Source organism: Homo sapiens, chromosome 1, assembly GCF_000001405.40.
Source record: "Homo sapiens chromosome 1, GRCh38.p14 Primary Assembly".
NCBI lineage: Eukaryota > Metazoa > Chordata > Mammalia > Primates > Hominidae > Homo > Homo sapiens.
The window spans coordinates 146,161,317-146,186,857 of NC_000001.11; the positions used below are offsets into that span (position 1 = coordinate 146,161,317).

A 25,541-nucleotide genomic window follows, 5' to 3' on the forward strand; every position below is an offset into this window, starting at 1 on the left:
TGTTCCCCAACATCCTGAAGCAGAACGGTGGAATGGCCTTTTGCAGTCACAATTACAATGCCAACTAGGTGAGAATACTTTGCAGGGTTGGGGCAAAGTTCTCAAGAAGGCTGTGTATGCTCTGAATCAGCGTCCAATATGTGGTACTGTTTCTCCCATAGCCAGGATTCACAGGTCCAGGAATCAAGGGGTGGAAATGGAAGTGGTACCACTCACCATCACCCCTAGTGATCCACTAGCAAAATGTTTGCTTCCTGTTCCCGTAACATTAAGTTCTGCTGGCCTAGAGGTCTTAGTTCCAGAGGGAGGAACGCTGCCATCAGAAGACACAACAACAATTCCATTAAACTGGTAGTTAAGATTGCCACCAGGACACTTTGGGTTCCTACCTTTAAGTAAACAGGCTAAGAAAGGCGTTACAGTGTTGGCTGGGACATCAAGGCTATCAAGACCCAGGCTATCAAGATGAAATCAGTCTACTACTCCAGAACGGAGGTAAGAAAGAGTATTCATGGAATACAGGAGATCCATTAGGGCGTCTCTTAGTATTACCATGCCCTGTGATTAAGGTCAATGGGCAACTACAACAGCCCAATCCAGGCGGGACTACAAATGGTTTGGGCCTCTCCATCAGGAAAAAAAAAAACACAACCTGCTGAGGTGTTTGCTGAAGGCAAAAGGAATACAAAATGGGTAGAAGAAGGTAGTCATCAATACCAGCTACTACCATGTGACCAGCTGCAGAAATGAGGACTGTAATTGTCCTCAGTATTTCCTCCTTCTTTTATTAAAAACATGTCTGTGCTTGCACACACTTGTACTAAGAAAATATCTTCATTTTATTTCCTTTCTCCTTTATCATGTGACATAAGATTTATTGACTTCACATCAGCATTTAAGTATCGTTAACTTTATGTAAGAGTGTTTCAGTTGGGGACTAGTGTGTTTCCGGATGTATGAAGAATAGTTGTACTACATCAGGTGTAATTATGACCTAATTATTGTCTTTATTTGAAGATTATGTGTGATCTCAGGAGATGTGTACGGGTTCAAGTTGACAAGGGGTAGATTTGTGGTGGTTAAAACTGAGTGTGTCAACTTGATTGAATTGAAGGATACAAAATATTGATCTTGGGTGTGTCTGTGAAGGTGTTGCCAAAGGAGATTAACATTTGAGTCAGTGGGCTGGGGAAGGCAGATCCACCCTTAATCTGGATGGACACCATTTGATCATCTGTCAGCAAATATAAAGCAGGCAGAAAAACATGAAAAAGCGAGACTGGCCTAGCCTCCCAGCCTACATCTTTTTCCCGTGCTGGATGTTTCCTGCCCTCAAATATCGAACCCCAAGTTCTTCGGTTTTGGAACTCAGACTGGCTCTCCTTGCTCCTCAGCCTGCAGACAGCCTATTGTGGGACCTTGTGATCATGTGAATTAATACTTAACAAACTCTCCTTTATATATATATAAAGATTGCCAATATATATATATTAAGATTGCCACCAAGACACTTTGGGTTGGAATATATATACATACATATATATTCCATTAGTTCCATCCCTCTAGAGAACCCTAATACAATGAAAAATTAATATAACAGTATTCTACACTAACTGATCCAGTATAGTCTTCTGAGTACATTTTTCACTTTTTTGCTTATTGCATTTATAGAACTCTTGGTTTAGTGCTTAAAGCAGGAGAAAAAATGAAGAATGTTCCTCCTTTTCTCATCTAATTTAATAAACACTTTTGAATAAAGCTCAGACCCACCTAGAAAAACCCACAATCTATTCAGGTGAGATATGTGTAAAAAAAATTACAATAAAATGTGATACATAAAACTAATAAAACTTAGAGACCATTTGCCTAAAGGAATCATGAAAGGGTCACTGAGACACAGTTTTAAATAACATTGGACAATCACCAGTTGTAGAAAAGGGCATTCCAGGCAAAAGGGTGTGTAACTGTATGGAAGCAATAATAAGTACAACATTTTCAGGAAATAAGGAGAATTTGGTGTGACTAGGCCTAGATGCTTGTGGGGAGGCCAGGCTATAAAAAGATGTAAAGTCTAGGCTGTAGAGAGCTATGGAAGTCATGTAAAAGAGTTTGCAGTTTATTCTGCGGATGATGAAAAAATATTAGACATTGTAAGCAGGTGAGATTGTTAGAATATTTGCATTTATAATCAAAGATGTAGTAATATCATGGGTGAATGAGATGGGGAGAGAATAAAGGCAAGAAAACGTATTCAGAAACTACTTCAGAAGCCCAGGTGAGAGATAACATGGCCTTCAACTACAGGGTAGCAGAGGAAATGGGAGGAATAGACAGGTGAAAGGCAACTCAGAGGTTGGCTTGGGTGACTGAGTTGAAATGAGGTCAGAACAAGGGACAGGGAGTTTCTAGCGTGGGTATTTGGGATGTACATGGTTGCTACGTATTTCTGTCAACAAGGTGAGCTGAAAGTACCTGTAGAATATCTCCAAGGAGAACATACAAAGGATAACTAGAAACATGAGCCTGAATGTCAGGGTTGGGTGGAGCTAAGGGAATGATGGTGAGATTCATCAGCAAGCTAATGAAGACAGTGGCAGTGGAGGCGAATACAGACAGTGAAATTCCCTAGGGAGAGCTGTGATGTGGCTCAAAAGAGGGCGCAAAACAGTGCTCCAGGGAGCACAAACATTTAATGGATAAGAACAAGGTAATGAAGAAGCAAAAGGAACAGGGTTCAGAAAACCAGAAAAGCCAGTGCCCTGAATGTCTAGGGAGGGAGATTTCTAAAAGCAAATAGTCAATAACATCAGCAACTTTTCCTCTGGTGACAGTGTACTTATTTCTTTTAGTGAAGTAAACTCTGATTCCCCATCCTGGTGTACATATTTTTTTTTTTGAGACAGGGTCTCACTCTGTCACCCAGGCTAGAGTGCAGTGGTGCGATCATAGCTCACTGCAGCCTCAAACTCCTGGGCTCAAGCAATTCTTCCACTTCAGCCTCCCAAGTAGTTAGGACTACAGGTGCACACCACCACACATGACTAATTTTGTTTTATTTTTATTCTTGTTTTTTTGTAGAGATGGGGTCTTGCTATGTTTCCCAGGCTGGTCTCAAACCTCTAGCCTCAAGTGATCCTCCTGCCTTGGCCTGCCAAAATGCTGGGATTGCAAGCGTGCGCCACCGCACCTGGCCCTGACATATATACTTTAAGCAGTCAAAGTATTTGGTCCTTTTTCTTTCTCTTTCTCTGCCCCCTGAAACTCTTAAAAGGAAGTTAGGGATAGTTGTCTGGAACATCCCAGTTCCTTATCATAATGTTAAATGTGCACCAGAGCTGGGGGACATTTAAGAGCCAGACACCATGATCTAAAAGATGCTAAATAAAGGTATCTGCTGAAGGTAGGAAAGCACTGGCTTTGGTCTCATTAGTTACCTGTAAACCCGACTTGACAGGTGCACTCATAGGTATCCCGGCTGAGCATATGGCATGTGCCGCCATTCAGGCAAGGTCGAGACACAAAGCATGGATGAGATGTCGAGTACTGGCAGTCCTCTCCTGTAAACCCTGAGGCACATCGGCACGTGGCTTTCCCCAGCATGGCCTGGGCCACACAAGTCCCACCATTCTGGCAGCGGTTCTTCTCACAGGGGTCTCGATGTTGACAATATTCCCCCAAGAAGCCTTCTGGACATCTGTATGGAAAAGAGAAGAGTCCATGAAAACACCTGACTTCTTGTAAGTCCAAAAAATTACAGTAAAACAATACAGTCCAATCAAGAAAGCACGAGATTGTGAATCAACAGACCTACAAGGACCACCTATAAAACTGCTTCCCTTTAGAAGAAAGAGTCCTTAGAGAACTTAACCACATACTCCCATGTCCTTTTGAGTCCTGGCAGGTGACAGAGTATCAGGTGTATGGTCTAGCAGGGTCTGCCATGGCCAGTCAACATGACCCTTATTCAAACGCAAAATGCACCCCAGCTTTTTTTCATGTGTGTACAGGTTGGGATGGTGTAACAGCACCTTTTTTAGAGCACTGTTCGTACTTGTCTGCTTAAATTCATTAACTTTCTCATTTTGACTAAGCCATTTGATAGGATTAAGATGTCCACAATATAATGCATGAACTTGACCCTATTATCCCCTCCAATTTAAAATATGTAAGATATCATGTGCTTTTCCTCAATTAAGCATTGAGAAATAGTAAGTGCTTCTTTCTCTTATTTCCACTGAAACATCAATTGGATGATACCTAGTTTTCTGGGTTATGTTCAGGTGGCTGACATTACAACGGAAAAAGGGAAAGGAGGTACAGGAATGGGGAAGAGTTCAAAGGGATATTTAAAAATCTGTTAATATTTAAGTAGGCATTTTTAACCAAATAAAAAGACACAAAATATAATTAAAATAACATAAAATATCTAAGATACCATATAAACACCAAAGTCAAGGAAGGAATCAATTGAAGAATAACATTCTATGATATTTTCCACATTGAGGCACTGAGGAACCTTTTTACATGCCACCCCTTGATTCATAAGATGTACAACCATTTCAAACTGTGTGTATTATTTATGACAATTTTCTCTGAACAATATCAAAAAGGCATGGTAAGTCTCCATTTTCATAATGAAGTTGTTTAAATGGAATCTCTGAGAAGCATTTAAATTAAGAAACACAAACACTTTGATTCTAACTATAAATGCTGCTATATATTTGGCTGGTGCCCCAAATATGTGATTCAACTTATTCCTCGTTTTAGTTTTCAGGGACTAGAAAACTGAATCTAGTAGGCTGTTCCACCATTACCTCAAAGATTACACATTTAAACCAAACTCTAAATCCCCCTCTCAAAAACCAGCTTTTCTGTGCCCAAGCCTTGTTGTCCTGATTTTCCTAATCATTGTGACCTGAAACATTGGGGTCATGAGTGCTTTTGTCTTTGACAGTCATATCCAAGACCTTTCATTAACCATTGGTTGGCAAGGCTAGCTAGCAGGGGTCACAGTTACTGAGAAAAGAGGGAAGGCCAGATACTAGGGAACTAAGACAGAAAATGCCCAGAAGAATTGTGTAGTAGCTAAAATGGCTAAAGGAGAAAACAGGGTGGTGAATAGCTATAGTGGTAGTGAGGTAACTGGCCACAGCCTCTTCACCCCTCCCAGAGCTGCATAAGATAAGCATGGCAGAGCAAGGAGCGGCTAAGGCTCTGGGCATCTTCATGAGTAGGTGTAGCTACAGACCAACAGGCAGTGAAGAAAGTTCATAGCACTGAAACCAAAGATGGCATGCAGGTGACTGTGAGGAGTCTGTATCAAGAAGGTCAGAAGGTCTGGTTTGGAGTTCTGGTGCTGTGACCTTGGACAAGTTACTTATCTTCATTGACTATCCATTTTCTCACATTGTAAATAGTTAATAAGGTCACCTACATCATGAGATTATTCTAAGAACTGAACAAAATCAAGTATGTAAAAAACCTTATAAATGTTAAAAAGTTTTGCAAGTGGGCTGGGCACAGTGGCTCACACCTGTAATTCCAGCACTTTGGGAGGCTGAGGTGTGAGGACCATCTGAGGTCAGGAGTTTGAGAATAGCCCGGCCAACAAGGTGAAACCCTGGCTCTACTAAAAATACAAAAATTAGCCAGGGTGGTGGTGCACGCTTGTAATCCCAGCTACTCGGGAGGCTGAGGCATGAGAATTGCTTGAACCCGGGAGGCGGAGGTTGCAGTGAGCCGACGAGATTGTGCCACTACACTCCAGCCTGGGCAACAGAGTGAGATTCCATCTCAAAAAAAAAAGTTTTGCCAAGTGAAAACATCTTTTCTCTCTTCTTTGTGCTTATTGAGGAAAATACAATGCCCCATCCAAATCACAGCTTGATTTGAGAATAGTTTCTTGTGTTGGTTTTTTGAAGTGGAGGAGCAAAAAGTGCCAATGTAGCATAGCTAAAATTAACTCTGAGATATATTATTAAAAGCATTTGCAGCTTATTCAAGAAATGTGTTATGAATGTTAAAAACTGCAACACAATTCTCACTCACAGTGCAGCCCTCTGGGCATTATTAGATGACTCTTCATTCTCCCATATGGGAATTATGCACCTTCTAAATAATGGCAAATTTTTAAACGTGGGTGGGCTTTGCTCAGCTTTGCTCCTGAACTATTACACCACCCTAACACTATCATGTGGCATATGCTAAGAGAATGCAAAGTCATTTAAATGGTAGCATCATAAACATATAATGGAAATATAAGGTTCCCAGGAAAACAAAAATGAAGCAAAATGGAAGTTTCTAAAGCTAAACAGATGTATTTCTGAATTATTTGTTTCTACAGTTTAATTCACATTGTTGCTCCCTATCAAGTATGGAAAAATAAGTTTTAACCTAAGATATATTTAAGAAATCAGTAAAACCAGAGATTGACAAAGTACAGTTTGCAAGTCTAATTTGGACCACTGCCTGTTTTTGTTTGGCCTGTGAATAGTTTTTTACATTTTTAAATGATTAGAAAAAAAGAACAAAAGAAGGATATTTTCTGACATTTCAAAATTATATACAATTCAAATTTCAGTGTCCATAAATAGTCTTACTGGAACACAGCCATGCTCATTCATTTATAGATTGTCTATGGCTGATTTTCCACTACAACAACAGAGTCAAGTAGCTGTAATGAGACCACAAAGCCTGCAAAAATAATTACTCTCTGGCACTTTACAGAAAAAGTTTGCCAACTTCTGAGTAGAGAACATATGAAGGCTAATTCTATAAATACCATCCAATATGCTTATTAATAATGATCGGTTTCTGATAGGAAATCAACCTTATTAGTTTCCACAAAGAATATTAAACTTATAATCGTTCATTCACACAACAATTAGTAAATGCCTATTATGTGCCAGGCATTTTTCCAGTGCTAGAAAAATTCTTACACTCTTGGAGTTTACATTCTAATAGCGGAAGACGAAAACAAAATTACTAAGTAAAAGATGCACAATAGATGGAGTTAAGTGCTGTGAAAAAAAATTAAACAGGAAGGAATGGAGCTGGGGATGAGGGTGTGGGGTGAGCAAAGAGAAGTATCTCAGTTTAGAATAGGAAAATCAGAGAAGACCTTCACTGACAATACTTGAGTTGAGACCTAAATAAGGTGAGAGTAATCATGCAGGTATCTTAGGAAAACACATTCATGAGAAAGGGAACAGCAAATGCAAAGGCCATAACACAGAGAGCAGCCCTAGCGTGTTTGAGAAACAGCAAGAATATCTGGAGCAGCAGAAAATAGATGAGAGCTGTAACTGGGATGTGGATCAATTGGGGCCTTTAAGCCACTGTAAAGAAAGACTTAGGGTTTTCCTCTAAATGGGATAATACTTACATATGAGGTACAACAGACTTACTCTCCTAAAGCCCGTGTACAGAACCATATATTTGCTTTACGTGAAACTAGACCTACTGTATTAATAAAGTTTGATTTCTATTTAAAATGTTTTAGAGGGCTGGACATCAGCTTAGTTCTTTACTTTTACCTTAGAAGATATACAAGTCTCTTTTAACCCACACTTTCATGAGGTCCCATTTCCCTTTCCAAATTATTGTTTCACAGCTAACCTTCTATGACTGTAGCCTAATTTCAGATATTCCTCTTTCTTTTCCATCTACTTCTTACTTATCCCTCTGCAACAAAACTTTAATTCTAATTATTGTTTAGAAACTGTTTTCTAAAAACAATGACTTTCCTCTAGTCAAGTTCAGTGGTCTCATCTGAAACTTCATAAGGAAATTCTCTCTCCTATAGGGAGAATTGCTAACCACTCCATGTACCGTTTTAATCATTTTACCTTGGCTTCTATGCCTCCCTCTGTCTAACTCAAAACCCAGTGAAGTCTTAGTCTGGATTGCTGATTTCTCCTTCTTCCCCATCTATTATGGCCACCCTAATGTTTAAGTCTGGACTGCACTGCTCTTTCTCTCAAATGCATTTGTTACTGTTGTTGTTCACTTGGTTTTAAACAACTTCCTTCCTGTAACTGACTCCAAAATACACTGTTCCAGTCCCATATGTTCAGTTTTCTAGAAGTCATCTCTCTATCCTAATATGTGCTGCCACTATTTGAAACTAAACATTTGTAAAAGGAGATCATCTTCCCAAGAAACTTTAATTATTCAATTTTTCTAAGGCTTCCACACACAATTTAAAGTAACTTCATCTCTTTAAGTTGTATATAATTTATTACCACATTCTGACAAGACTTGTTAACTGAATTCCTATAATACTTATCATTCGTGTTCACAGTTTCCTTTTTGATACAAATTCTGATCATCTTAAAAGCCTCAGGCCAGACATCATCTTGTTGCTGGCTTTTCCCCCATTTCCAGCCATCCTTGGAATAACAGAACCTTCAGATTCAAGAAATTTAATTTCTATCCAATTAAGTAATCATTTCTAAAATATTTCTAAAAGATGATCACCAGCCTCTGCTTGAATACAAGCATGTAGCATGGTGCCGGATAAATCTTGAGAATTTAATAAATGCTTGGAGTTATTATTGTTCTGCTCTTAAGAGTACAGACTCTGGAACCAGACCACCTGGATTTCAATCCCAACTCCACCATTTACTCAATGTGTAGTCTTGGGCAAGGTACTAAACTTCCCTGTCGTAAAAGAGATGTAATAACAGTGCCTACTTCATAGGATTTTTAAATAAGGGTAAAGCACTTAGAACACTATCCAGCACATAGTAAACACTATGCATTTGTTAAGTGAAATTACTGGCTGACTACTTCAACAAAAGAACAGTCTTCAATGTGGGTGGATTCCACTGTGAGAAAGCTCTTTCTTAATTCTTCAAATTCTGCCTCCCTTCCTAGGTATATACCCGAGATAACTGAAAACATATGCCCAGATAATAAAAATGTTCATAGCAGCATTATTCATAATAGCTAAAAAGTAGAAACAACCCAAATGCCTATAAGCGGATGAACAGATAAATAAAATGTGGTATATCCATAAATGAAATATGTGGCCATGAAAAGGAATGACATTCTGATACATGCTACAACATGGATGAACCTTGAAAACATGCTAAGTGAAAGAAGCCACACACAAAAGGCCACATATTATATAATTCCATTTATATGAAATGTCCAGAATATGCAAATCCGTAGAGATAGAAAGTAGATTAGTGTTGCCAGGAGCTGTAAAGAAAGGGAAATAGACAGTGACTACTAAGCAGTAGAGAATTTCTTTCAGGGTGATAAAAATGTTTCGAAATTAGATAATGGTGGTGGTCTCATAACTCTGGAAATACTGAAGTCTACTAAATTAAACACTTTAAAAGGGTAAATTTTATGATACATAAATTATGTCTTAACTTTGAAAAGAACAAACTTTGTCTCTCTACAATTTCCAGGTTATCTCTACCCTCTAGAACAAAAAAGAACAAGCCTTCTGCTTCTCTTACACGTAGCCCTTCAAGAATCTGAAGATAGTTATGTGGGCCTTTTGTTTTCTTTTTTCCAGGATTCAATGGTTTGGCATATTCCTCAGTATAGGGTTATTTCCAGGCTTCTTCACCTTTTTAGTGGTGCTTCTATGCTTAACAGTAGTAATAATAATCAGAATGACCAAAATTTTCTGCCTCCCTTCCCAGGTATATACCCGAAGTAACTGAAAACATATTTTCTAAGTACTTAACTATGTATTGTATATTTGCTAAGCATTTGATAGCTATTGTCTCTTGTATTACTCGCTCCAGTGCTATATTATAATCTCCATTTTATATATGAGGAACTCGAAGCTTAGAAAGATTAAGATTTTACAGCTAGGCCAGGCGCGGTGGCTCACACCAGTAATCTCAGCACTTTGGGAGGCCGAGGCAGGCAGATCACCAGGTCAGGAGATCGAGACCATCCTGGCTAACACAGTGAAACCCTGTCTCTACTAAAAATATAAAAAATTAGCCAGGCGTGGTGGCGGGCGCCTGTAGTCCCAGCTACTCAGGAGGCTGAGGCAGGAGAATGGCATGAACCCAGAAGTTGGAGGTTGCAGTGAGCCAAGATCGCGCCACTGCACTCCAGCCTGGGCAACAGAGCGAGACTCCCTCTCAAAAAAAAAAAAAATTCACAGCTAGTAGATGGAAGAGGCAGGATTCAAACCCAAGTAGACTCTAGAGTGCGTGTGCTTCAACACTAGGCTATCCTGCCTCCCCATCACTGGATGACTCCAGTTCATCAAAAACCTCTTTAAAAAGTGAGGCTCAAAATGGAAAAAGGCTTAACACATGTTCTTACCAGTGCAGCACAGAGCTGAACCATGACCTCCTGATCTGGACACTATGCTTTTACTATTTCAGAGTAAGTTCTTAAACTGAGGAGGCATCGTGAGAGCGCAGTTCAAGAAAGAATAACGCTCCGACTCATACCCAATGGATATGTGTACTTTTTTAGAAGCCACAAAATACTACTATGTGCTATGGAATACACACTCAGCTAAAATATTCAGAGCCTTATTTCACATGAACTACTAGTGTACCCTATTTTTCTCATCTTATACTTGTAGCACATGTTTTTTGAACCCAATAATTGGAACTATCATTCATTCCTTTTAAATCCATCATATTGAGTCTTTACTCCAAGTTTCCTTGATTGAGACAACTTTTACATTATACTCATACAATCACAGAATTTCAGCAGTGATCTCAGAAACCAAATGGTCTGAACCCCTATAGCACTGAGAAGGACACCAAAGCTAACTGATCTACCCAAAGTTGGTTATCTGTGAATCTAGCAATTTCCCCAGTTTTACAAATATATCCCTATCTTCACCTAGACCTTGCAATGAAACAGTACTTAACTGAAAGTGTATGACTAAGTCTTGCCCCAAGACTAGCACTTATTCAATCAGCTCTAACATCCTAAATGGACCAGCATCCTATCCATACCTCTCCTCTCCCTAAGGACAGTCTGGAAATTCCTTGCTGAACCTAAGCATATGACTAAAAGAATAATCTTTCCTAAGCATAATTTTCATGTCATTCTTCTGCTCAGAAACTAGCAACAGTATTAATACCAAGCCTTTCAAATCCAAGTTCTTTACAATCTCTGATCTGCTTGTCTGTCCCATTCCAATCATCTAACCATCTTACTCTTTAGTAATCCATAACTCGAACACTCCATATTATTTCCACAATCTTGTTTACTGTCCCCTATATTGAAATCTTTTTAATTTCCAGTGAGAAACATCATGCTTCCCTTCTGGTATATCTCCAACTTAGGTTCCTTTCTTCCACCCTTTTTTCAAAAATCTGCTGTAAACCTGTCCTATAGTAAGCCTTCTACAAATCATCCCACCTGTCTCTGATCCTTCCAACAGCAGATGTAGTGCCATGTCATGCACTACATTGTCTCCGCTGGTATGGTTCTTCTTTATTTAAGCCACTGTTATGTCTTTGCTGTACCTTTCTCAAACTCCCATCTAGATAGTTTTTGTGGGGAAGACCCTGTCTTGAACCCTTGGTGTAGGTTCCCTGAATACCTGAGTACATAAACCCCACTAAGCAGCTGGTTCCAAAGCAGGCTAAATTTCATGTGATGGATAAAGTCAGTCTCTCAATCCAAATGTTCCACAAAATCCATCTCTACTCTGTGATCTGTCTGGTAGAATAACAGGCCAAATCAACCTAATAGTCATCCTGAGGTATAGAATTATCCTTCACACCCCAGGAAGCTAAGCAGCATTATGGACATGGGAAGAAAGGGGAGTAATAGCTAAGACAGTCAGAAATAACAGACCCTTGTTTCCTAAGGCAGGAGATCTTTCAACTTGCAAATCCCTGTTCAACTGTGGTATAAGGAGAAAATATACTCTGTTAGTCTTGGTGGAAAGTAAGGTTCTCTGCTTGAAAACAAGGGCTTAAATAGCTGTCTTCTTGAGATGGCTAAAGTTGAATTTGGTTAGAGAGTGAAAACATGGCTAAACACCCAACATCCCTTACGTATCTATAATTCCATTAAGCTACCCAGCACACATTTTGGAAAATAGTCTACCACTTGAACTAAAGGTGTATATTCTAAAAAATAACCACAAAAATCTAACAGATGCCTTTCATCCGCAAAACTATATGAATGTTTCCCTCCTGTAGGGAGTTTATTAATTATTTTCATAACTGTCTCTTCAATGTCTCTCAGTGACTTCTACTTACTCTCTCTTCTCTAGCATTGGAACTCTGAAAGAACATACTTCGCAGATGAGGTTGTGAATACAGAGAAAGGTTTGGGGAGCATTTTTCCATTTTAAACTCTATAAACTAATCTGAATACTTACCAGGTCCATAAAGATATATTTATGACTTTTTCTTTAAAAGTCTCAGCTGGGCACAGTGGCTCACACCTGTAATCCCAGCACTGTGGGAGGCCAAGGCGAGCAGATTGCTAGAGCAGAAGTTCGAGACCTGCCTAGGCAATACGGGCAACATGGTGAGAACCCCATCTCAAAAAAAAAAAAGTGTCATTTCTGACATTGAGAGGTCCACATTTCCATTGTTACTGTTCAAACATACGCATGGGGTTGGATGTAGAAAAGCAAAGGAAGGAAGAAAACAGAGAAAAACAAGGGATTCCTCCTAATGGAACTAGAAAACATTCCATTTGAAGGATACCCCTACAGTTTCCTCTCACTTAAGCAGATGAAAACCAGACCCCAACCCTCACATCTCACTAGCAGCCTGGATTAGTTTACATGTAGCCACTTTACAGATTTCAACGAAGCTGGGATCTGAATAGCAATTCCAATCTATCTGGCAATGGCTGCAGTTCAGGATCAGTCTCTCTAGTAATACAGGACAGAAAAATTTGTTCTTTCACGTTTCCTAAGTGAATAGCCACTCGTCTACAGAAAAGCTTAAAACAGTGTAGCAGCTTGTGTCAGCTCCAAGATGACTGAAGTCTGAGCAGGAAATAAGCCCCTTTTCCAAATAAAAGCCAGTGTTCTCTCCCCTTGTTTTCTCCACCGAATGTTCTGTATCAGCAGGGTGAGGCCAAATTGCATCCAGGGCTTTGCTGCAGCTCTGTCTTTAGCTTTTTTTTTTTTTTTTTTTTTTTTAAAACGAGGATTTGGCCATTCAAGAAACAACAACAACAACAACAAAGCAAAATCCCACCACATACAAGAAGAAAAAGAGAGGCATGCTTTACAAAACAGCTATTTCAAAGTCATGATTTTTAAAAAAACTATACAGAATGTGGAACGAAGGGGAAAAAAAAGTCTCATGTGGGTTGCGTCGGCACTGCAGCTGCTCCTCATTAAAGCTCCTCTTTACTCCCTCTGGGCTAGTTTCCAGCAGAAAATTCTTTAAACAGAACTCTGCTTTCAACCCACTTTCTTCTTGCACTGGGCCTCTTGGCCCCCCAATCCACAGTGGCAGCCTGCCCTAGCTGAGCTCTAGAGGGGGGAGCTGTCGTTAAGGTAAATGAGGTAAGGGCAGGGGAAAAAACTAACAAAACCCAGAAACCAAATTAAGCATCGGTCAGTAACAAAGGTCTGCAGTTTGAAAGGCTCCAAATCAGTCTGTTCTTTCCTGTGACCATAATGCCAGCTTAGTTTCCTGCCCCCCTACTCTGTCCCCCCTGTTAAAGTAGATAAAAATAATTGCTAACAGCCAAGGCTAGCTGGAACCAGTGAAAGTTCCTATGTAACATTCAATTCCCAAGGCTGCGACTACAAACTTGTAGGTACCCTAGAGCCTATAGAATCAAGTCTAAACTTCTAGGCTGGCATTCAGGAGGCCTAACCCACCTATTGGTCTAGACTCACTGGTCTCCCTCCTTTCAGTACCTCCTGGCTGAGGTCTGATGGGCTTGTCAACTTTTTAATTCTGTCACTCTGTGTAAAGGTAACTAACTAGGTTATGCTAATTACCAACTTTGTTTTAAAAACATGCATGAAGACTTCTAGTTAACTTCCTGGTAAAGAGGGGAAAAAAAGAGAAGAAGCTCTGTCATACTACTTCTTGCCATTCCCACTCTACTCTCAACCCCCCCTTCTCTCAAATAAAAAGAAAGAAAAAAAAGGAAATACTATAGCTTACTCAGCAAGAAGGAAAAACAAAAAGAACTTTAAAAAAAAGTATTTGTGTATAGATTGGTGTCCAGAACTGGGACGCTTGTGGTAAAACACACTTTCTAGTGTAGTTTTTCTAGGGCCTTACTAGTTGTATGTGAAGGAAACAAAGACAAGTATACAATCTCTCACTCTCACACACGTACACACACACATACACACTTTTATCACAACCAATACACAAAGACTACCAAATACTGCAGGGCAGCTCATTTTTCTACTATGTAAATTCAGCTTCCTGGACAGACCATTTCTGCTTTTCTTGTAGAAGTATTTCAGAAAATGTTAATCTTGGTTCCCACATTAGGTTGCATGCTTCCAAATTAAAAGTTTCCCACAGGAAAAGAACTTCATGAGGAATTGTGAGGCTGGGAATTATCTCTGAAACCCCACCTCACTTAGTTTACATGTGTTAGGTTTTTCACCCCCTCATCTGAATAAAGCATTAAATACACACTGATTTTAAGAAACCTAAACCAAAAAGAAGCTGAAGTGGTACGGACTTTAAAGCTGTTGATTCACAGCATCATTCATCTTCACTCAGACTATGAAATCAGTAACCACTGCAATGAGAAACCATGCTTTATTTATACAAGAACTTTACAAACATCCTTATCTTCCAGTTTACAGTCTGGGCTCATTTATCAGAACTCAAAGGCTGAGCTGAGCACCTAGTCTCTTCAATCATCACTTGAAAGATTGGGAAGGGGCACACAGTGTTAAAAGACTTGTGTTGTTGCTATAACAGAAGGTGGTCTTTCCTCTGTGTTCCAGAACACAATCAGGATCTTACCATACTTCACTGCACTGGACTCTGAGAAAATATCTACTTGTGATTAAAACATGGCAAACACATTCTAGACATATGAGTTTACAAAAAACACCCTTCGATGTAATGGACAAAACTGAATGAGTTAGCTCAGTTGTTCCCAAGGTATGGGCTGTGGAGTTATTGCAAGGGATTGCAATCCTCATAAATCACTTTCTAAACTACTAAACAGTATCTTGTCCATATTTAAATATATGTATATGCTTTTATGACTAGTAAAACATAAAGATATATTAAATGATTCTTGAATTCTTAGATTTTGACAGTATACATTGTATTCAAACAACACACTGAGAAATTGTTTCATCTCAAGCTCTCTCCTTTATGCGCTATACTCTTGCTAAATGCCTTTCAGCTCCTAGAAAATGCTATAGTACACTACTTCTCACTTCCAGACCTCTGTACACGCTGTTCAGTCAGCCCAAAATGCTTTTCCCCACCTTCTCATGGCTAAGCCCTAAAATTTCATTGTATGAACTTAAATGTTATTTCCTGTGAAAAACAGCCTTGACACCCCCTCTGTTCTTATAACCCTGAGCCTGTGTTACTCATTAGCCCTTATTATGATTATCTGTCAACAGACTAAAATTATTAATTCTCATACTCCCAGTGCCTAACACAATGACTGGCATATAGAAGGCATTCGACTATTCAGTGCAGAAGCAAAAGGTCAAAATGAAGGGCTCTGTGGAATCTTTACCCCTTAAAAAGACCCTATAAATACACTTGAAGTTTGGGAACAACTGGGTTGAGCTATTTACCTAAAGGATTTTCAAAACTAATTAAGATTCCTGATATATAGACTACTTCTTAACCCCCACTCACCCCTATATCAGTCAAATTGGGCCAACTCCATGCAAAGTAGATTATTTTTTAATCACCTTCCCTCCCACCTACCAAATATGAAGTTAACCAACACACACAGAGAGGCATGTGTGCATGTGCAGACATACACACACACAGTCCTCATTCCCTCTTGCACTTTTATTGGTCTTTCATCGGTTGTTGATAAGACTGACTACATAAACCACCAGGGACCTGGAGCCCTGACTAAAAAAAAAAAAAAATCCTACAAAGTGGCCTCAATAGCATGAACTGCTAGATTCTGTAGTGACTGCCATTGAAAATTAAAGAAGATCTCTAGAAAGAAAAGTGTTGGAGCCTTCTTTCCATTCCCCAATGTTGGTGGATGACCACCTTCAAAGTTCTGAAGTCCAAAAAATATCTAAAAGCAGAGTAATTTAAAAAGCTTACTGTTTAGTCTAAAAGGATTTTCCTAGATCAAAAACAACTGTACCTATTTGGATACCAAAAATGAAAAAGAAATAGTGCAGAATCTTTAGATTGCCTAATGGGATCTGGAGAAACAGCTCTTAGTCCCAGTCTACATCCTAATGAGTTATGTAATAAAGGCTAATTCGCTTAGCTGTATTACACCTCAGCCTCCTCACTTATAAAACAAAATGAGTGACAAAGGTGCTTTCCAAAGTCCCTTTGACCTCCTAAGTGTGATGACTCTATAATCTTGGCCTTTGAAGTCCCTTGGCAATACCACCCAAGGATGTAATGATGCTTGTTGATGTTAATGTTTGGGTGTTTGTGGTTGTATATGTCTTGACCACTGTCCCACTCCAAGCAGGGGATCCTAGGGTAAGAACTGTACTGTGTCTCTTTTTTAATATCCCTCACAGTGCCCATCACCCTCTAGGTGCACAGATAATTCAATATACACTTATGTAAATGAATTGTTCCACAACTCACACTTTCAGCTAGCCCCTCACAGATGCATAAGAAAGCAAAGAACAACCAAAGAGAAGGAACAATATATTTAAACAAGATAAGGGGAATGAAAAAGAATCTTGTGTTTAAAAAGGATAGAAAGGTCTAACCATCTTCTATCCCAAACAACTGGCCAACATGAGAGCCTGTTTTCTTGAGCATAGAATGGTGGTAGGTATTTCAGCCTCGATGGAATCTGACCTGCTGATTAGTTATACAAGGCTAAAACTGACTGAAGTGTGTATGTAAGACAACGGTCTGGGAAGAGAAGCACTAAATTTAAGCTCACAGGGAATCAACCACTTAAAAAGGTAAATTCAGATAGAACTTTATCCAGATTTCATTTTTATGCATCCTCTCTACAAGCATAAACGCTTATCTTACTCACTTCCCATCTCATGATGCTATCATCAATTCTTATAAAATTTAGAAAAGAATAGGTGATGTCTCCTAATTAGAGAGTCTGCTTCTGTCACAAACTGTGACAGTCAGTGTCAGCCTTTGCCTGGAAGAAAATGAGTCACTTTTTCATTAGTAATCAAGTTATGTCTATTTTTTAAGAGTGACCCAGAAATTCAAGGCCATGAGTTTCAGCAATACGAGACAGAGAATCAGACACCACAAACATTGTATACAAATAGAATTAAGACAGAAAAATTAAAGTCAAGGAGGTACAGAGTTACTTTTCAGGATGACTGAGGTTTCAGAAAGGGCAAGTTGCCCCGTAAAATATTCTCAAGATGTGTCTGGCTTACACAACAAGAACCAGTATTTCAAAATCTTAAAGTGACAGGCAGTTAAACGACTAAGGCACTACCATCGTCTAGGCAAGAGAATCTTAACCACCATCAAATGTTTTCCACACAGAATAGGCAGACCTAGTTTATTCTGGAAAATTGAGGGTTTGGATATGTACTATATAATCAGAGGAAACAAGCAGTAAAGGACCTGAGCTAATTTGGGGTAACCAAAGACTTGGCTAACAGATGCTTCCTTACTCTGGATCCCTCATATGAATCAGATCTGGCCAGCGATATGCTGGACAGAAGATATCTGAGGTTGAGATACCTGATTTCTCAACTAAGGGAATGAACTATGCAGTACATGAAAACCAACCCTCTTCTTAGTGCCTCTGTTTTCCTATCACTTCCCCTATCCCAATCCATTCTTGCTCTTGCCTTAGAGATTCTTAGATTCTGATTTTCCTCGCAAAACATGGCCACAAGCCTACCGCCTCTCTGTCTGGTAGAAGTACAAGAATCAAGAGTCAAGGCCAAAAAGGTCTGAGGGAAGGAGCATAATTGCTCCCAGCTGCCCTCTCTTCCTGTCCCCAGGTCCTCTCCTTCACCCTCACTCTAGGCATTCTACCTCCAAACGTTCAAGTTAACATGTGCTAAAGGAATGATTTTCTAAATCACTTACCTGTCACTGTGAAACTAGATTAATCCACATACTGGTTTAGTAAAACCTCACACAAACCAGCATATACACAGAAGACAGCAATCAAGATGAAGAAAACGTTTGAAACCGTGTCATTAAGAAAACGTGATGAAGAAATTGGTAATGATTATTCCAGGAAATAACAGTCCCTTCTAGTCTCCTCAGCTCCCTTCCTCTCACCCTTCTCCTACCTATCCATCTTCTAAGGCACCACTAATATTCAAAGATTTAGGATCTAAGCAGTGCACCAAAAGTCCTCTGATTTTACTCTTTTGTCCCACAGTACTTGTTCCTTTGTCTGAGTGTCCATAGTTATTATCTGTGCCCCTACACTGGGATATTACAAACTGTTTTATTTTACACATCTCTGTATGCTTCATCTCCCCAGCAAGACTTCAGAAGACTGCCACCATGTCTTATGCAGGAGAAACTGCATTCACTGTCAGACAGTCTCTGGGTACGTATACTTGTGAATAAAGAAGTCAGGTAACACAGGCCTCTTGGGCTTTTCTGTCTATTCACAATACCCAGTACAGTGATCAGTTATAGTAGCCTGCTCAATAAATACTAGTGTGATAAAAATTAAACTTTTGTTTGAAAAGTGAGGATTCTATAGCGCTTCAGAGTCCATCTAACTTTCAGTGTTCAGCACACAGGATTATAGACAGTGACTGCAGGAAAATGACCTGAATCTATACAGATTTAATACCCTAAATGCTACCATTCTACATAAATCCTAATCAGATTATTTTCTTATTAACACCTACCTTTCTCCTCATATTTACGTGAAGGCAAAAAACTGGATAGAATGCTATAGTTGAATGTGTTCACTGAATAATATCACCCATCACTTAAATAATGTCTTTCTTAGTCTTTATTTTCACTTTTCTTTCATAAAACTCTTTTCATAAAGATCAAGTAGAAGACTGTTTAGGAGAAGAGCATTTTGAGCAGAAATTAACTGCATTACTTTTTCATAGGAGAAGGCTGATGGAGTCTAAGAATTGGCAATACATTTTTGGACTCAGAGGACTAAGTGCTAGTGAAGGTCACTGACAGTGAATAAATAGGATCTAGAAAATGTGCGGAAATCCAATAGAAATTTTAATTTACCTTACGTTGGGTTGTAAGGTAAAACCCAACTAAAAGAAATATGAAAACAAAATGCATAACACAGTCGCATGTGCACACGTGTGCATACACACATATGACAGGAGGACGGAGAGACACTAAACTTCATTCCTAACTACTGTATGTTGAGAGGAGGCCTAATGAAAACCTCTATCACACCCACATATTTATGCTAGCTTAATAAATTTTAAAGTGCTTGGAAATTTTTAGATGATTACTTTTTCTCATATTCTGATATCCCCCATTCCTTTGCTATCATTCATAAGGGCAGATGTAGACAAAATTAAAGAATTTAATTAAGCCTCTCCATATCCTGAAAGAGAAATATTTCTCATTTTGCTTAGTCACAAAAAAAGGGAGAAAAAAAGAATTCCTGTGTGAAATTAATGGTGCTAACGAGACATGCCTGAATAAGAAACTTCACATAAGATTACGATTGACCTGGAGACTGTGTTGAAAGAAACCTAGCTAAATTCACATCTATTAATGCCAGACTGCAGGCCAAAATTTGTTGATTTAATTTCTTGGCAGTTACCCAAGACAGGTAAAAGGATATAGGCAGAGCCTAAGAACCAGATTCTCCTACTTCTTCACTGAACACTGAAATATATAAAGGTCCCAACTGAAAGAATAAAAATTAGTTGAAAATAGTATGGAAATTATGTTGCTATGTGTTAAGAAGCTACTAACTGGCCAGGCACAGTGGTTCAGGCCTGTAATTCCAGCCCTTTGGGAGGCAGAAGTGGGAGGATCACTTGAGCCCAGGAATTCGAGACCAGCCTGAGCAACATGTGAGACCGTGTCTCTATAAAAAGTTTTAAAAATGGGAGACTGAGGCAGGAGGATGGATGGCTTGAGCCTAGGAGGTGGAGGCTGCAGTGATCCATGATTGCTCTACTGCACTCAAGCCTGGGCCACAGATGGAGATGCTAGTAACCAAGACTTCCTTTACAAAAGACCCCTTAGGGAAACATCATATTTGATAAAGGATTTTAATAGGACATAAGTATTAATAAGAATCACTTAGGAATGGTACTGTTAAAGGGTCCAGATCTCAAGTCCTAATACAAGGAAAAGCCTCACAGGACATACTCCTATGCATCTGTAACTCACTATGCAAATGTAAGGTGCCATATTCAACAACTTGTGACTTTTGTGCTGGCAACAACATTTATCAAAAATCACTGAATTTAACCTGTCTCAATTTCACAACTGCATAAATCTGTCTGGACTTGCTCCTGTTCCATTAGTAAAAAGAAAGGAGAAGTTTCAAATTAGTTCTCTCTACTGAAGCACACTTTAATAGACAATATCCTCTATCCCCACCTTCACTGCCCTCTTCTTCTATTTCATCCACAGTTATTACATTGAGCTTTCATGTTAAAGGCCATTTCTCAGAAATGCAGTATTCACCAAACCTGGCCCATGTACACTCATGTAACTATATGCAGATTTAGTGTTCTAGAATGATATGAGGTACTCAGGCCTACCTAATGCTACTGTCTTTAAATTTAGAAATTACATAAAGCAGTGTTTTAATCATATTCCTGATCTGAAAAGTCCCCTTTTTGTATACTTTCAAATGTTCCACACTTCCTTTTCAGAAGGTTCCATTTGAACTACCAACTTAAAACAGGTAATTCTGTCCCATTTTATTGACAGGCAAACTGAGACTCAACGTGACAGTACATTTTCCACGAGTATATCTCAGGTTAGCTACAGAGTGATGGGATCTTGAGTGAATTATTTAACTTCTCTTAGCTTCCATATAGTCTCTCTCTCACATGAGGACTAAAGTAAATACATGTAAACTACTTGAGAACAGACCCTAATACGCAATAATGTTAGCTAGCATTATAGACTTTAACTTGCCAAAGATCCAATTGTTAATAGGAATCAGGACTCAAACTTAAGTCTATCTGGCATAAAAAAACCTATGTCCTCAGCTGGGCGTGGTGGCTTACGCCTGTAATCCCAGCACTTTGGGAGGCCGAGGCGGGCAGATCATGAGGTCAGGAGATAGAGACCATCCTGGCTAACACAGTGAAACCCCGTCTCTACTAAAAATACAAAAAATTAGCCGGGTGTGGTGGCGGGCGCTTGTAGTCCCGGCTACTTGAGAGGCTGAGGCAGGAGAATGGCATGAACCCGGGAGGCGGAGCTTGCAGTGAGCCAAGAAAGCGCCACTGCACTCCAGCCTGGGCCACAGAGCGAGACTCTGTCTCAAAAAAAAACAACAACAAAAAACTATGTCCTCTTCATGTCACCAGTCAAGGATCTTCCAGGACCCTTACTCCACTCACCAGTGCAGGCTGAACCATACTAGGTCATAAGGCAAAAGAAAAAATCAGTACTACTGATCTCCTTATTTAAAATTTTGATAATTTTCAACTTATTTTGCATTAATTTTGATTTTTTGAACAACTACATACAAACATTATTTTGATTAGTGAGTTTTTTGGCACTCTCTTAAATTTCACAAGAGAGGCCTGTGCCTTACTTGCCTCACCATGGTCCCAGCCCTGCCATTCACTGGTGGCCCCTGTACAGAAGGCCACATTATAGTCAGTTTTTTTCATACTTGGCTTTACTCTGAACCTCTCTAAGAAGCCCAAGTTAATGAACTGGTAATTATTTTATGACTTCCCAAAGAAGTGTGAAATAATATGATAACAATATTGATTAACTGCAACTACTACCACAGACTTGAGTTATCTATTATATGTGGTACGCATAAATAGCATGCAATAAATAACTCTTGAATTAATAAAACCTGAACATATTACATTTTAAGAAAAGATTACTCTATGAGAGGTATTTAATGAGCCAAAAAAACAGCATTCTTTGTTTTATGTTAAAAAGATAAATGAACTATGGAAAACTGGCCAAGCTTCTGCTATCATTTTCCAGAAAAACTATACACACAATGTTCAGCTAAATAGGCACCGTACTTGAAGGAACTAGGCTGGCAGAACCAGTTTCAGCTGAGAAGAAAGAGAAAGTAATTTAACAGTTGATATTTTTCCCTGTCTATTTCTTTGATCTGACAATGCCCCTGTGCCTCCCTGAATGCACTCACAAGAAGGTGAAGGAAAGGGGGAAATGCTGAGTCAGCCATGACTTCTGAAAACGCCTTTTTGGGGGAGAAGCACCACAACAGAAACATTGCGAATGCATCCTCCATAAAAAGCTAAGTTCTAAGGGATTATGAGTGTCTCTACTCTCTACTTACTATACAGACATTTACCAAGAAGACAAAGAAGGCAATGGCTCTAGTTTTTCTTGGATGGATTCAGGAAATCTGGACCACCAACATGACTGCCTAATCCTGGCAAGGAGAATTGTTAGCTGTTAATGTTTAATGTTTATTACAGCTAGCAGACAAGTTTTAGACAAAATGTGACACAAAGTTATATTTTATAACACTTTATATTTATAATAATTTACCTTAAAGTGTAGTTTTTAGATCAGCACTTTAGCAAAAAGTGGACATTCTCAAATGCAAGCACCCATCTACAGGAACGTATACAACTCACGGTGACTTTCTGCTGTTTTACAAACACTATGTTAGATATTTACCAAGTGGTATGTATGAAATTCTGAAAGGCCCCTTTATATTTCCAATTTTCATCATTAAAAATAATTGCAGAGTAACTTATATCAGACTAGCCCTCTTGCTCTGGACAAAATATCAAAGGCACTGGAGAATCACTGAAAGCAGGCATAAACTAGAAGGGATATAAGCCTCAGAAAAAGCGAAGCAAACTATATGAAACCCACATTTACAGTTTTGTTTTTGTTTTTTTTTTATCGTGAAGGTACACCCCAGTTCATGCAGCAGAAGAGGAAGAGTGTGCAAGCAGAAAACGGAAGTCCTGCGATACTGAGGAGTCAGAGGTATCTGGAGCTGTCACAGCAGCTAGAATATGAGGAGAAAAATTCCTGGAAAAGACAGAACCACAGAGTGGGTAGCTTCAAAGTATGCATACAACTCTGCTCAAATCCTTAAATAATTCCTGACTATGCATGAGCAAGATAAGATTCAGAAACCCAAGAGAAAGTAAGAGCTGGACGGCTGAAAAGACTGAGCAGAAGGCTCCTGGGGCTGGGAGGACAAGTTCTGCCTTAGAGGGGCTTAATGAACACCTCAGGGCTTGGTAGGCCCCTCACACTTTCCACTGAACCCCTAGAAGGGTCACATCTTGGGAATAAGAGCCCTATCCCATGACTAAGATTTGTGTCATCGGACTAAGGGCAGAACAGAAGTAGGCCCACCCTAACGTGTCCTAAAACCTAGCATCCATAGGATCAAGATGATCTGCCAATCTTGACAAAATTCAACATTCTTTAGTGGGAGATAAACTTTAAAATCTATCACCCACAATGTCCAGTAAGTAATGTAAAACTACCATACATGTGTAAAGTAAAGGGAAGTCATACCCATGGTCCAAAGAAGGAGCAGGTGATAGAAACAGAAACACATCCATAGACAACCCAGATGTTAAGAACCAGCAGACAAAGATTTTAAATAACTACAATAAATGTCCTTAAAATACATATTTTGTCAATTATACAAATCATAACCTAACCTACCCCCAGAATCCTAGTGAACTTGAGTTGTCCATGATCTTTAATCAAATTGGGATTTAGAATGGTTTATATTTGAAAATCTGAAGCAAACAACTTGAAAGTGATTAATGACATCAAATTTAATTACATATTTACACCTCCCAGTAGGACAAGGGAAAGAATAAAATATCTTATCTCCCTGTAGTGAGAGGGCTTTATTAAGATTTGACAGTAGTTATTTAACAGCAATAATTGAGTTTTATGCAAGATTATACAAGTTCTCCTAATCTGGCATCAAAATCTAATCACAGACTGATAGGGTACTTAGGCTCCTAACACTGAGAAAAAACAGTTGAGCTGAGTACAAAACTAATCTTCAAAAGTAGTTATCTTCATCTGTCAATGTGATCTTATCAAGGATTTTTATAATTTCTATAAACAATCATTATATTTTAGCTGAATCAGTAGCATTATGCTGTCTAAACAGATAGTCAGATTCCTTCTATTTTAAAACACTTTCTACCAGTTCCCATCCCACCACTCACCACTCACCCCCACGCTGGCCCTGTAAAAGGAATTTGGCTTCAACTTTCTTTTCTTAATCCACTAAGCAATCGCATGAATAAAAAGATAATCACATGCCCTGCATGCCTGATAGAATTTTTATAAATCTTCTGTTTTAATATTTATTTTCTATTTTGTGAAAATAATATTTACTGAACAAGCTAGATCATCTTCTTTCTCCACAGAAAAAAAGGTAAGGTTGGTGAAAATACACTGAAAGCTCTGCTAGGTACACATTATTTTTGCATAAAATTTTGCTTAAAATTCTGTGGAGGCTGGCAAAGCACTGTAGAATGATTGACGTGGCTGCCTTGATATTGTTCTTGCTTTTTCTTTGTCCACTTATGTTGACCCTGCCACTCCTAAATATGCTAATATTACTTTTGCTGAGGTAGGGAATCACTCTCTTTATACAAGTTTTGTTGTTCATCTTGGTCTCCCAAAAGGATGGCCTCACCAAATTTTTTCTTTCTCTCAAGGAGTTTGTTTCCCTCAAAACAGGAAAGACATCTGAGGGACATACCCAGAACTGTATCCATAAGCATTCCATCCTATCAACAATTAACAAGTAGCCAGGGACAGAATTTAGGCAGCTCCATTTTCTTTTTTTTTTTTTTTGGAGACACAGTCTCGCTCTGTCGCTCAGGCTGGAGTGCAGTGGTGCAATCTTGGCTCACTGCAAGCTCCGCCTCCTGGGTTCAGGCCATTCTCCTGCCTCAGCCTCCCGAGTAACTGGGATTACAGGTGCGTGCCACCACGCCCAGCTAATTTTTTGCATTTTTAGTAGAGATGGGATTTCACCGTGTTAGCCAGGATGGTCTCCAACCTTGGTTGGAGAGTATGAGACTAGCAGCCCAACAGTCCAACAAAGAACTATTGGACTTCTTCCCAACAGTGACCCTTAGGTGTCCTCTCCTGGTAAGTGCTCAGAGATTAGTCTCCCCTAGAAACCTTCTCTCCCCATGTCAGACCAAAAATATATAGGCGAACACTTAGAACATATTTGAAATTCTCCATATATAAGTCACCAAGTTGAATGATCTTCAAATAGAACCAATTTGCCTCTCTGTATGGTATTACCACCCTGAATGCTATGTGAAATAA

General features: G+C 39.2%; 1 protein-coding gene across 4 annotated transcripts in view, besides 3 other annotated features; it reads right to left on the minus strand.

Moving 5' to 3' along the window:
• NOTCH2NLA (notch 2 N-terminal like A) overlaps positions 1–25,541 on the minus strand; it is an 80,157-nt gene that overhangs the window by 12,452 nt on the left and 42,164 nt on the right. For all 4 annotated transcript variants that reach the window (NM_001364006.2, NM_001395231.1, NM_203458.6 and 1 more), the window contains exon 3: positions 3,435–3,694. In NM_001364006.2, coding sequence (NP_001350935.1) covers positions 3,435–3,694 — 260 coding nt within the window. The remainder of the gene's footprint in view (positions 1–3,434; positions 3,695–25,541) is intronic.
• Positions 16,152–16,734: an enhancer, noted in NCBI's record as "NANOG-H3K27ac-H3K4me1 hESC enhancer chr1:145260143-145260725 (GRCh37/hg19 assembly coordinates)". NCBI's record gives its function as "activates a minimal SCP1, AML or CMV promoter by ChIP-STARR-seq in naive H9 embryonic stem cells {active_cell/tissue: H9 hESC(naive)}" and the evidence as "EXISTENCE:reporter gene assay evidence [ECO:0000049][PMID:30033119]".
• Positions 20,946–21,446: an enhancer, noted in NCBI's record as "H3K4me1 hESC enhancer chr1:145255431-145255931 (GRCh37/hg19 assembly coordinates)". NCBI's record gives its function as "activates a minimal SCP1, AML or CMV promoter by ChIP-STARR-seq in primed H9 embryonic stem cells {active_cell/tissue: H9 hESC(primed)}" and the evidence as "EXISTENCE:reporter gene assay evidence [ECO:0000049][PMID:30033119]".
• Positions 21,447–21,947: an enhancer, noted in NCBI's record as "H3K4me1 hESC enhancer chr1:145254930-145255430 (GRCh37/hg19 assembly coordinates)". NCBI's record gives its function as "activates a minimal SCP1, AML or CMV promoter by ChIP-STARR-seq in primed H9 embryonic stem cells {active_cell/tissue: H9 hESC(primed)}" and the evidence as "EXISTENCE:reporter gene assay evidence [ECO:0000049][PMID:30033119]".